Source organism: Homo sapiens, chromosome 14 (genome assembly GCF_000001405.40).
Source record: "Homo sapiens chromosome 14, GRCh38.p14 Primary Assembly".
NCBI classification, from domain to species: Eukaryota; Metazoa; Chordata; class Mammalia; order Primates; family Hominidae; genus Homo; species Homo sapiens.
The window spans coordinates 60,277,546-60,291,582 of NC_000014.9; the positions used below are offsets into that span (position 1 = coordinate 60,277,546).

The 14,037-nt window shown below is 35.0% G+C and overlaps 1 protein-coding gene across 25 annotated transcripts in view, besides 1 other annotated feature; it reads left to right on the forward strand.

The window, feature by feature from the left end:
* PPM1A (protein phosphatase, Mg2+/Mn2+ dependent 1A) overlaps positions 1–14,037 on the forward strand; it is a 53,338-nt gene that overhangs the window by 31,796 nt on the left and 7,505 nt on the right. For 12 of the 25 annotated variants that reach the window (XM_047431505.1, XM_047431508.1, XM_047431511.1 and 9 more), the window contains 5 exons: positions 1,028–1,157; positions 5,139–5,992; positions 8,079–8,196; positions 12,261–12,369; positions 13,852–13,909. In XM_047431505.1, coding sequence (XP_047287461.1) covers positions 5,159–5,992; positions 8,079–8,196; positions 12,261–12,369; positions 13,852–13,909 — 1,119 coding nt within the window. In that variant the 5' untranslated portion in view covers positions 1,028–1,157; positions 5,139–5,158. Of the gene's footprint in view, positions 1–1,027; positions 1,158–1,209; positions 1,465–5,138; positions 5,993–8,078; positions 11,011–12,260; positions 12,370–13,851; positions 13,910–14,037 lie in introns of those variants that run through there. The other 13 variants (NM_177952.3, XM_047431516.1, XM_047431499.1 and 10 more) reach the window with 3 other exon arrangements.
* Positions 4,736–5,935: an enhancer, noted in NCBI's record as "BRD4-independent group 4 enhancer chr14:60748999-60750198 (GRCh37/hg19 assembly coordinates)". NCBI's record gives its function as "activates an origin of replication core promoter dependent on BRD2, P300/CBP, MED14 and CDK7 cofactors, and independent of BRD4, by STARR-seq in HCT116 cells {active_cell/tissue: HCT116}" and the evidence as "EXISTENCE:reporter gene assay evidence [ECO:0000049][PMID:35650434]".

A 14,037-nucleotide genomic window follows, 5' to 3' on the forward strand; every position in this document is an offset into this window, starting at 1 on the left:
TTTTTTAAAGTCTGGGGTTTGTTTTTAGAAAGTATATTCTATCTTCAAAGAATTATTTGGTAGTTTCATGTGTGTATCTGGAAAATAACTACTGTACTTCTTTATAAAAGTGAGAGTGAGGTCCCTGCTAGTTGAGGCTGGAATCTAGACGTGGCTGTTTATGTAGGAGTTAGTAATTAAACAGTGCCTGTTTGCTGACTGCCTCATTTTTGCCAGGCTCTGTATGGGTGCCTTGCAAGGCATTGCCTCATTTAAACCTTGCAGCAGCATTCAGAGGAAAGTATTAATATGCCCACTGTACAGATGAGGAAGTTGAGGAATGCTTTATTAGTAGGTGTGAAGTGTCTTAAGCATAATACCTCCCTCCTCAACCTTGCTCCCTCATCCTAGTTAAGGGAATTGAGACACAGAGATAAGGCAATTTGCTATTGACCTTCAGCAGATGACTTAACCTCACCGTGGCTTAGTTTCTTCATGAGTAAAACAGGGTACCTATCTTTTAGGATTGGTGTGAAGATTAAAGAAGTTAATACATATACAAAACTTTAGAACAGTGCTTGGCTAGTAGTAATCTCTCCATAAATGTTAGATGTTATTATTAAGCCTGTGACTACCTGTTATCTCATGTAGTTGTTCAGAGATAAAAATGTAGGCTATAGGAAAGAATAAGGAGGAAAGCCAGGCTCCTAATCTGTCTAAGATAGAAGTGAATCTTAGTTAAGTTTTAAGATAATCCTATGTGCTTTTAAAAGATTTCATGGTTTGCGGTTTGCTTTTCTTTGGCTCCCAGTTTCTTTTTTTTTTTTTTTGACTTCTTAGTACAGGTAACTTTTGAAGGAATTCAGCTTACCTTAGATGAACCAAAGGAAAGCTAAAAGCCGAGATAATTTAGAAAAACTAAAGCAGAGATTATGTTCCTAAATTCCCTCTTTCTGCTTCAAAGTCCAGGAAACACCACCTGCAGATACAGTTGTATCCCATTGTTAGACCCTTTCCTGAAGCCATCCTCTTTTCTTTGTCTTCCCAGAGAGAAACTAGTCATTCGACAAAGATTGAACTTCTTCTGTGTGTTAGGCTGTGCTCCAAGTGCTGGGAAGACACCAGTGAATAAAACAAAAAGTCCCTGCTCTCATGGAGTTTACAGCCACTATTCTAAAGTTTGTCTGTATTCTGCCTGTCCTTGTTTTTATACTTTTAGCAAATATGTGTATAGAATTGTTTTGCAGCCTTGTTCAGCATATTGTCTTCTTTTGTTTTTTAGGAATATCTGTTTATGTAATTAGATCTGTTTTTGATAAATTGTATTCTGTTATTTATCCTTCCTACCTTCTAATGAGCAGTTAGGTTATTTCCAACATTGACTATTATGGTTCTCCAAAAAGATCATTGAATATGTCACCTTGGATGGATGGATGGGAGAGTTTCTTCAAGACAGCATGTTTCAGACTTTTTGTTGTGACCACAGTAAGAATTATGTGCACCTCAGCTTAGTAAATACAAATATACACTTGGGACAAAAACTTCAAGAAACAGTATTTACTTACTTTTATCACCTGGGATGCACTCTATTTTGTTCTGTTTTGTTTTCTTGAGACGTTGTTTCGCTCTTGCTGCCCGGGCTAGAGTGCAATGGCATGATCTTGGCTCACTGCAACCTCCACCTCCCAGGTTCAAACAATTCTCCTGCCTCAGCCTCCTGAGTAGTTGGGATTACAGGCGCCAGCCACCACACCCGGCTAATTTTTTGTATTAATAGAGACAGGGTTTCACCATGTTGGCCAGTCTGGTCTCGAACTCCTGACCTCAATTAATCCACCCACCTCAGCCTCCCAAAGTGCTGAGATTACAGGCGTGAGCCACTGCGCTCGGCCTATTTTATCTTTTTCAAATGCAGTTTACACACAACCCAGCTGATTGGGTTGTGTGTAACCCATACTGATTAAACTGATTTATCACCCGTGTTCATTATTTTTAAAACGTTGTTTTGAGATCTATAATTAGAAGTGGAATTGCTGAGTAGTTGCTTAAGTGTATCTTCAACTTCTTCAACTAGCTGTTGCCAGTTGCAATTCAGAGTGGTTGAACCAATTTAAACTCCTATCGGCACTCTAGGGGAGTTCCTGTTTCTCCACATTCTGACCAACTCTTGATATTGCCAGATGGATGAGAAATGGCATTTGTTTTAAATGTGCCTTCCCCTATTTACTAATGAAGTGTTTAAAGTGTCTTTTAAAATATATCACATAGAAGTTTAATTTAATGGTAATCAGAGCTGGCGGCAAGGAGGAAATATTATTGTGATTGACTGCCTCCTCTGGCAGAAAAAATGGTGTAAAAATTATATAATAATATCTATATTATATTGAGTATTTATAATTTGCTAGACACTATACTTTGTGCACTGTATACATTATTTTATTTAATCGTCATAAGAATCTTGTAAGGTTAGTGCCTTCTTATATACTTTTTTTTTTGAGACGGAGTCTCGCTCTATCGCCCAGGCTGGAGTGCAGTGATGTGATCTCAGCTTGGCTCAGTGCAACCTCTGCCTCCAGGTTCAAGCCATTCTTCTGCCTCAGCCTCCCAAGTAGCCGGGATTACGGGCATGCGCCACCATGCCTGGCTAATTTTTGTATTTTTAGTAGAGACGGGGTTTCACCATATTGGCCAGGCTGGTCTAGAACTCCTGACCTCATGATCCACCCACCTCGGCCTCCTAAAGTGCTGGGATTACAGGCGTGAGCCACCACACCTGGCTGCCTTCTTATATGCTTATACAGGAACAGATGGAGAAAGAGATTCGGAAAGGTTCAGTAGTCACACTATTACTAAGTAGTAGAGCCAGAATTTAAACCCACATTGGTCTAATTTCATAACTTATTTTCTTTAGTACTTCATGCTATTGGTGAATTCGTAGAGGAAGGAAGTTTGTCATTACTATTCTTTTCTGTTGGTTTGTCTCTTAAATGTGTTTAATTTTTTGAGTTTCACTCACGTCTCTTTTTTTCTTTCCTTTTCTCAAGGTAGTGGAGTCTTTCCTCTGTAAAACTTCACCTTGTTGTTTCTAGTCTAGGATAGTGGTCTTGTAACCTAGGATAGTGGTCTTGGTTACTGCAATTTTGGTTGATTATTTCTTGTTGGCCCTTAATGTGCCCCCATCTTCTGCCTTAGGCATTCCATCTAATCTTTTCCAGCAGTTTGCAACCTTACTGTGCCTCAGAATCACATATGAAAATTTAAAAATCATAGATACCTAGGTTCCAACCCTACCCTGGAAATTCTGATTTGGAAATATTTATTTTTCAAAAAGTCCACAGATAATTCTGTTGCACAGCCATGGTAGAGACCCATTTTCTTAGGGGTTAATGATGCTTTAGAGTCACGCAGACTTGAATCAGAGCCCTGATTCCTTTAAACTTATTAGTTGAGTGATCTTGGCCAAGTTCTTTAATCTTGGCTAAGGTTCTTCATCTATAAATTGGAGATAATATTATTATCTACCTTAGAGAGTTGTTGAAGAGATTAAATGAAGTAATGCTTGTAAAACACTTACCAGAGGGACTTAGAATACTTCTTAAACATTGCCTGCTAATAAGGTGTCATTATTACGTTATCCTTTATCCAATCAAAATACTCACCTTTGCAGTGTGTATCAACTTGATGTCAGAAAAATAATCTGATAAATATCACCATAAGGGATGGATGATAGCTAGTTTTCATTACTTACCTTTCGTTAGTTGAACTGTACTAGGAGGCAGAGGAGTAGGCAGATGGTTTTATCACGCCAATCAGCCAGTCTTTTCTGCCTATGTATCAGTTTGGACCTATAAGGAAAATGAAGGGGAAAACAAATGTTTTTCTTTCCTTCCTAGGAGGATTTTCTTCTTGCCCTTTTTCTCCCAGTTTCCTCTCTGAGCTGAGTATCATTAGCATCATCAATACCCTAGTTTCAGAGCTGCGTAGTGATTTACCTAGATACTTTTCTCCACCATTATTCCCTACTACCTAACTCCTCTTCACCTCCATTAAATCTCTGTTCATCATGCTATCCTTCTTTTGGATTGCCTTTAGTTCAGTTGTGACTTACTTGATTACTTGAACCCAGGTGTCTACATTTCTAAGCTATTGTTCAAGTAAGGGCCAAGGTAAATTCTAACCAGCTGTCTCTTTGCCTTGTGTGGGCCCATTCTAGACCAGCGGGTGTTAACTTTTGAGTATTGGAAAAGGATTAGATTAGCTGAGCCTTCAGGCTTGTCAGCAGGGCTGTCACTAGACCCTTTGATCTTCTTTATATACCTAATGGTCATAGAGTATAATAATAATGGTACATGTTATTACTATATGATTAATAGATTACTAGTAGTAATTTTGTTATATATGTATACAGTACACTTCGTTATGTATATATATAATTGCTTGCAACTTGAAATTTGAGGCTACAACATTTACAGTAATTTAATAACTTAACTGACTTTATCAAAAACTGAAAAACCTCATGGAAAAGGTAGAATGTAAGGTAGACTTAAAAGGATAGGTATACTTTTTTCTATAAATAGGATGAGGCAAGAGTTTCCAGTTAAGGAAACTGACATGAGCAAAGGCTTGAAGGAGCATGCAAATTTGGAGCATTGTGAGTAGATTATTTTTTAGTTTTTCAGAGTTCATGCAGTGGGAATAAAACTAGGGAGTTTGGAATCAAGCTTGAAAATTCCTGAATGTTCAACCAAGATATATTTGAGTTAGTAGATTTTTTGGGTATGTCATGAATTCGTTTGGCTTTTCTTAATTGATATACATACAACTTAGTCCTGAGCTTACACATGTTCATTGTATCATTAAACATTTAGCCTGGTTGGTTTAAGTTGATGGCCACTGCCAGGTCTCCTTTCTGCCTTCTCCCCTTTATCCCAATGCTTTAGTTTTTTTCTGCCTTTTTGTCTGTTGTGATCTGTGCTTCATCAGGCTTTCCCCCAGTTCCTCCTTGTTAATCTCCAGATTCCAAGTCAGCAACACAATGAATGTCTGCTTATCGCGAGTTGTGAATTCCCGCATATCTCTTTCACTTATTAAAAAGATTGTTTGGTACATATTTTGTTTATAAGACAGTTATTGACTTTCCTGTTTCTCTTCCTTTGCAGACCTAGAGGATCAAGACATAATGGGAGCATTTTTAGACAAGCCAAAGATGGAAAAGCATAATGCCCAGGGGCAGGGTAATGGGTTGCGATATGGGCTAAGCAGCATGCAAGGCTGGCGTGTTGAAATGGAGGATGCACATACGGCTGTGATCGGTTTGCCAAGTGGACTTGAATCGTGGTCATTCTTTGCTGTGTATGATGGGCATGCTGGTTCTCAGGTTGCCAAATACTGCTGTGAGCATTTGTTAGATCACATCACCAATAACCAGGATTTTAAAGGGTCTGCAGGAGCACCTTCTGTGGAAAATGTAAAGAATGGAATCAGAACAGGTTTTCTGGAGATTGATGAACACATGAGAGTTATGTCAGAGAAGAAACATGGTGCAGATAGAAGTGGGTCAACAGCTGTAGGTGTCTTAATTTCTCCCCAACATACTTATTTCATTAACTGTGGAGACTCAAGAGGTTTACTTTGTAGGAACAGGAAAGTTCATTTCTTCACACAAGATCACAAACCAAGTAATCCGCTGGAGAAAGAACGAATTCAGAATGCAGGTGGCTCTGTAATGATTCAGCGTGTGAATGGCTCTCTGGCTGTATCGAGGGCCCTTGGGGATTTTGATTACAAATGTGTCCATGGAAAAGGTCCTACTGAGCAGCTTGTCTCACCAGAGCCTGAAGTCCATGATATTGAAAGATCTGAAGAAGATGATCAGTTCATTATCCTTGCATGTGATGGTATCTGGGATGTTATGGGAAATGAAGAGCTCTGTGATTTTGTAAGATCCAGACTTGAAGTCACTGATGACCTTGAGAAAGTTTGCAATGAAGTAGTCGACACCTGTTTGTATAAGGTAGCTAGACTTTTTTTAAAAACATAAAATGATTTTATGCCATATTAATCACTACTCTAGTATTTAATCATCTTAGAATCTGTAATTCTGAAACCAGTTTTTGGCACAACTGTAGGATACTGTTCACCAATTATGAAAATATATCATAGGACCACTATGTAGAAATAAATTACCCAATTACCATCTCTGCAAGAGTTATAAGCTGAATGTTTAGTCTTACTACTTGAGCTTTGTAATAATGTGGAAGATTATCAAAGGTAAAAAGATTTTATCAGAGTGCATGTTTTGAAAGAAAGAGGGTGGGGAGGGTTAGGCCTCAGTGTCTATAAATGAAAAGCATTTTAGAGTTTTAATATTTGACCATGTGATATCTCAGTACATTTATGATATCCTAATCCTTTGAAACTAAGGTTTAATGGTCTGTAGCACTTGAAAGAGGAATGTAGTGATCATTAGACGTGATGTAATAGAAATAGCCTTGTACATGGAGTCAGAAGAACTTGCTCTGAGACTGTGTATGGTTTTAGGTAAGCTATTTAAACTCTAATCAGTTTTTTTCATCATAAAAAGGATAAGACATTATTATCTTGTCTCATGGCGTTGTCAGGAGGATCAAATGGGATAATATACACAGGTGAGCTAGCTCAGCCCCTTTATTTTACAGATGAGGAAGCTGAAGCCAGAGAAGGTTCTACAAACTTAAGAGTCAGACAGACCTGAGACCAAGGCTTACCTCTATTAGTTTTGTACTCTACATTCCTGAACGAATTGTTCAACCTCTCTCAGCTTTAAAATGGAGATAATAGTATCTTATAAGACTGTTGCCGGGCGCGGTGGCTCACGCCTGTAATCCCAGCACTTTGGGAGGCCGAGGTGGGCGGATCACGAGGTCAGGAGATCGAGACCATCCTGGCTAACACAGTGAAACCCCGTCTCTACTAAAAAACACAAAAAATTAGCCGGGTGTGGTGGCGGGCGCCTGTAGTCCCAGCTACGCGGGAGGCTGAGGCAGGAGAATGGCGTGAACCCGGGAGGCGGAGCTTGCAGTGAGCCGAGATCGCGCCACTGCACTCCAGCCTGGGCGACAGAGCGAGACTCCGTCTCAAAAAAAAAAAAAAAGACTGTTGAGGAATTAATGAGCGTATGTATATATATATATATGTGTGTGTGTATATATATATATACATATATATATATATAATGCCTAGTTTAGCATATAATACATGCTACACCCTTTCCTACAGATATTATAAATGACGTGTACAGGGTTTTATACATTGCTAACAGCATTAAGACTAGAAAATCAAGGCCCTTGACTTGGGTTCAGTGTTCTTTCTGCCACACTCTGTTCTGTTTTGTCAATAATGCTTATTAACTTATTCTTTGATGTTTTTTTAAACAAATGTTGACTTTTTAAAATTCTTCTGAGGGTATATATTTGATACTCAAATATTTAATTATAGCATTTGAATACTTAGATGTCTTTAAAAATGAATGTAGTTCCTAAAAGTTGTCAGTTTTTAAAATTAATACAAGTTAAAAGCTGGTTTATAAACCTTAGGTAGTTTTACCTCTTATTTCATATTTCTACTTATGAAGCGAATGTATTAGCCCCACAATTTATAATTTATTTTAAAGGTAATTTTATCAGGTACATATAACTACAGGTCAAATCCTATTGTAAACAATGCCACTAAAATTTTCTGTCATGTTGTATGGAAGGAGTGTGTGTACACATGTATATTTGTATTAGGTATCACTTCAAATTAAGTCACCAGTAAATGTTTAGAAATAGTATTGTTTTATAGAATTATAAAAAATTATTATTACAGTGAGATTAACCTGTAATGTTTCTCTCCTGTCTTTTGGAGTATTGGTTATACTGTATTCTCTCTATACTGTTCGGGGGAGGGGGAGTCATTGCACACACACACGCACGCATGCGTGCACATATGTATTTTTTTCTCCCTGAAAGTAACATTTTCACTAGAACAAGTATAACTGTAATTGGCACAGCTGTAAAGGTTCTCAAGGCTTTGAAGAGCAAAAAGAAAACTAAAATATTCTCAAATTTTTTTCTTCCCAGGGAAGTCGAGACAACATGAGTGTGATTTTGATCTGTTTTCCAAATGCACCCAAAGTATCGCCAGAAGCAGTGAAGAAGGAGGCAGAGTTGGACAAGTACCTGGAATGCAGAGTAGAAGGTGGATCATTTAACAAAAAATAAGTAGCTTTATTAAAGAAAAATCTTCAACACAATCAAACTTTAACATTTTAGCTTTTAGATTTTTATGTGTCTTTGACAGCTAGTGTCTAGTGTATGAAAGTGGAAAAGGACATTTCTGTAGTAGCTGTTAAGATGTATGCAGTTGTCCTATCACAGTTATATTAGAAATAACAACTAGTGTGGAAAGTAACCCACATTCTGTTCAGGATACTTTTGTTTTAAAAGGCTAAAATGTTTGTGTGCTTTAAAATTCTTAATGAATTCACTGGCATGAGTAATTTTATGCCGGGAAAATCTGATTTGTGGTCTATTTAATTACAAAGAGATTGTGATGGTGATAATTTGAATACCATCTTTCTATGAAAAGCTGTGTATATTAATTTTAATCTCTAGGGCCTTTTTTCAATAACTTGAAAATCACAGCCTCATCATTAGCAACTTTATATACACAGCTTTAAAAAATTTGCTTTAAACTGTTTCAGAGCTTCTTCCCTAAGCCATAAACTGTCTCACCTAAACAAGATAGACCTCAATAAAAGACATAATATTTCTCCACCTGGCAGAAAAGTAACTGCCAAGTAAGATTAAGAAATAAGTTGAGCATTTCTGGAGTATATTTCTCATAATTCTGCAGAGACTTCCAGTTTATTGCATATATGCAGTAAAGTGTATATATTATGCAGTTTCTCTAAGTGGAAAAACTTGACATGACTTTAATAGTGTTAAAACATGAAAATGCTGGTGAGCTGAGGTAGAAAAAAAACAAGAAAAAAATTTTAAAAATAGCGTTAAAATGCATTTTAGGCTCCTAATGTCGTTAATTTGCACGTTAAAGACCTCTAATCGCATGCAAGCATTGACCTACCACACCTACATCCCACTGTGCCTGCATTATTGAAATTACTACTCACTTTAATTTTTTTTCCCCTTTTTACTGTTTGATACCAATCATAATCAGTCTGATACTAGAATCATGATTGGTTTTGTTCTTTAGTACTGTCTAGAGCTACTATTTTGTTTTTATTGCTGTCCGCCACTTGATAGTCATACATCTAGTATGTGTTTGTACTATTTAGTATTGCATTCATTGGACGTACTATTCAACGAATTTGTCTCCTTACTGTTACCAAGGGTCTTGGAATTTTTATATTTTAAATTAATCATTCAATATAAGTTATTTATAGGTATAGTACAATTTTAAAATATTTAGAATGCTACAATCATTGGTTCAAACTATTGATTCATGGGAAAATTTAAATTCATAAGAATAATATGTATAGGGATAAGTTGATATTTAATGTATTGGCACTTTAACTTGGGCAGACATGTTTTCTTATTGGTTTAAAGAAGTAATAAGTATTTTAATATTTTTACTATGAAATGGGATCCAATTTTAGAAATGAATTGCTACTTTTCTCTTTAGTGTGTACACTTTAAGTTTTAGATGGAATTATGAAATATTCACTTTACGTTATTTTGTTACAATAATAAGTTTTATATTTCTTATTATCAAGCAAGAGTTGCCACCTGGACAGAGTTTACATTGATACTCAATATTTTTGATATGTTAAAGTGTTATTATACTTGTACCATTCAATTGGAGATTGTCATAAATTAAATATGGTATTTTTTACTCAGATTTGATGAGACTGCAACTAGAGAATAAATATTACATTAAAATTGCTGCTATTTTAAAACATAGAATGTAACTGTTTGTATTGTAAAAGTTGTGTGTCCTCAGTGAAAAATACTGCCTTCAGCTTCCAAAGCAGGCACCTGAATGCCTTTTTCTTTTCTCTCTCTCTTCTTTCTTTAAATACATGCCTTCACTAGATTGCTGTGACCTACTAAACCTCATTTTATTTGCTTGGAACATTTTTGGCTTCTCTGTCCACACCATAGAAAAGGACAAAGGCCTTCCAGCTCTCCTTTTCTCTTATTTGTTCCCTTCTAAATACTTGACTCTCTGGGGGTGTGAAAAGATTCAGCTCATAATTTATACTACTATTAATTTTGTGGTCCTTCTAAGCCAATTTAAAATTATACTTTTGTGTATATATTTTCAAAATCTTTGCTACTGACTACCTTAGCTTTAAAGTTGCTAATTTGGAGATGACTGATAGAATCCCTGAAACTTGGTGGAGGGGAGTGGAAAGGAGCAGAATGTGTTTGTGTATATGTATGTGAAACATGGATCTTCTATATATAAATATTCTTTAGAAAAAGCGTTCAGTCTTTTTACAATTCTAAGTAAAACGTATAGGTCAACAGAAATTAAAGGAATATTTCTTAAAATTCATTTATTTTTCTTTTTTGAAAGCAGACAGAAGCAAGGCTAGTATAGTATGAATGGTCAGGTAGTTTAAATGCGTTGTCCCACGTGGAACAGGAGATATTAACTGTTTTTAAAGCTTTACATTATTTTTTTACAAGAATTTGTTTTCCTGTAATTTTCTTCACAGTTAAAATATCCTAATTTATATTTTAACAAAAGAGATGTAAGATACATCAAATATAGATGATTCAAGGTAATGTTTTTTAGACCTGAAACTATTGATTCAATTTATCATCAGTGTTTATTTCTATTGTATCTAGTTATCTATCCAAATAATTGTATTGGCTTAGCGGAGACTGTATGTTAAGTGTATTAGTTTTAGATTGTGAAATTGTGCAGTTTAGGTAAACATCAAATCCCTTTATTTTTGTACAGCAGATTTCCAGCATTAGAACCATGTAGAACAAATATACTAGATGTTAAAGATTACACAATAAAGGAACTTGGCAAACCAAATCTGAGATCCTTGCTTTTTGTTCAGATTTAAGACTGTTTTTTTTTTTAAGGCAAAAAATAATAGATGGTAAAAATTTGGCCTTTATTCTAAAAGGACAGTTTGAACCATTTAAAGAAATATTATGGGTAGCCATGTCTTTAAAAATTTTGAGGCCTGATCAAAGGACGAATCTTTATACACATTGTTATTTTCAAAGGTATTTACAAATTGAGAAGCAGAATGATGATTTCTTGCCCCACTAATGACAAATAAAATACCATTTCTTACCATAAACATTGAAAAACAAACTGAACAAAACTTGACCATATAACTTACAAATACTTTTGACTTGAATTTGCATGTGGAGTATGTGTGCTAAAACTGCAAGTGAAGACTTTTTATACTTAGAGGAATAGTTGTAGAGTTCTTTGTAAGGTTCTTTGTTCATAATTTTTTATATTTTGTGATGTGAATAATAGTATGCATCTGCATGACAACACTGCAGATCATATTGCTGTGCCCTTTTAATAACTGGATATTTTAAAATTATTTTAAATGCAGTTGTATGGTTTATCAAATGGTTCTCTTTTTAAACATTTTATAAGGAAATTTAGACCTTTTCTATTCAAGGCTTTGTTGAAGTAATCAGTGAAGGAAATGGTATTATATATCTATACAGTATATTGTTTAAAGGTACTTTAGAGAAGAATTAAACTGAGACAGTGATGTTCAAGTACATAATCTGTGCATGCTATTTAAGTATCATTTTGCAAATATAAATATATACATAAAAATAATTGAGTTAGTATATAATCTATAAATTCCCCTATAATTAAGGGTTGTTATTTTCAAATCTTGAAATTGTTTATTTTTTAAAATTCCACGCAGTGTATTATATAGGGCAAAGTTCAGGAAACATGTTTCCAGTCTAAAGAGAGGAGTGATGTAAGAAGAAACTAGTTGACATCTTAAGAAAGGGTATTCTCACTTGTGCACACATATCCTTGATTATATAATATGCTGATTTAACATGAAATATTTTTTCACATTTTAATTTTGATTTGAAGTTAATCTTATATGTCATTTTGTGCATTTTTTGTCATAAATCTTCAAAGGTCAACCTGATTTTTTTTTTTTTTAAATGATACCAGATTAGAAAAATCTCAGATGTGGTAAATGCCATCTTTAAAAAGCTAGGTTATCTTTGTTTCGGTTTTCTTTTCAATTAAATTTGGATAACACTTACAAAAAAAGTACTTCTGATTCCCAGAAATCATAAAGAAGCAGGGGGAAGGCGTCCCCGACTTAGTCCATGTGATGCGCACATTAGCGAGTGAGAACATCCCCAGCCTCCCACCAGGGGGTGAATTGGCAAGCAAGTAAGTTACATTCTGTACACTCTTATGCTTTATGTCAGTGTATGAAAATGTTAGGTATTCATTGATAAAATGTTTGTTTGCCTAATTTCTGAACTGATGCAGTTATCTGTGTTTTAACCTGTGATTTCAATTTTTTTTTAGTATTAGAATATCTAGAGTTTGTTTAGACATAGGTATCAGTATCATTGTAACTAATTGCAGTGAGGGTTGTCTTTATTGGAAGCTTGGTTGGCATTGATTTCCTCATAGAGCATAAACGAGATAATATACTGAAAGAACTTTTTAAACTAAATTACATAGCACTACATAAAAATTTACAAAATTCTAAGTGTCGTTGTTAGTAGTAGTATAATTTGATTTGGTCAATCCCTGAGTAACTTAACACCCTGAAAATTCCCCTTCCTCATATGGACCATGTTTCTATGCCTGATTTTCCCAGTATTTTTGGTTGTTGATTGCTGGTTAGTTGGTTTTAGGTGTCAGGGAAGAAGATAGAATATATTTCTTGTCTTTTCCCTTTCCACTTTAGTTCATAGAATTGGACTACTTTGTGTTAAATATTAAGCTTACACCTTTACATAATAAAGTGGAAAATTCAAGCAATTCCAAGGGTTAAAACATTTTTACCTCAAATATCCATATAATTGACTTACAAACATAAAACTTGCAAATACCTTTAGCTTGAATTTGGATATAGAGTAAATGTGCTAAAACTACAAGTGAAGACTTCTTGTACTTACAGTGAAGATATATTATTGACTAATTTTCTCGATTCTCTACTGTGTTTTGCAAGTGTGACCATGTTCTTTGTAATCACTAAATAGTGATTGTAAAAGCTCCTGTTTGAAGCTTTTATTTTTTGGAAACTTTTTTTTTCCATATGACTTTCTATGAAACGATCTATAAAATTGCTTCAAGTCAATTTTGGAAGTAGGGAGACTATAACTTATAAATATACTACAGATTTTTAATAAAGTGTTACTCAAAACTAATTCCTAGACTTGTCATGGAAATGTCTTATTTGACATTTCAGTTTTAATAGAACTTTTGAAAAGGGCATTAAGAAAAGTAGAAGCTTAAATATAAAGTATAATCTGAGACTTCAAAACTACGATGCAACTCAACTAGCTTATGTTAGTATTATATCTTAAGAATGGCATTGCCATTGATGACTCATAACCATTTAAACCAATTCAAATGGAAGTAGACTATATAGACTTTTTTTTTAATCTGTAATTTTTAGCCTTCTATTAACTGGGTTGGTAGAGTGTTATAACACATTTTAGAGTAGACTCACCTCTGCTTTAACATAGGAGCCCAAATATCTTAAAAGTGAGGCTCACTATTGACAGCAAGAAATAGAACTAAAATAATATCTGAGTATAAGATTATCTTAGAAATTTTAATAAACACCTGGCTATGAGTTACTAAGCAATGTTTTGCTTTCTGAAGAATTAATTTTCTGCATTTTTTTACACTTAGGAGGAATGTTATTGAAGCCGTTTACAATAGACTGAATCCTTACAAAAATGACGACACTGTAAGTAGCATTTTAGCTCCCTCTGCTTTCCCTTCCCCTCCACTCTAAATGCATATCCTTCCTACCTGTTTTTGCAGAGCTGTTCACTGTACCCATTCTCTTACACACACCCCTGATTGATTGCTCTG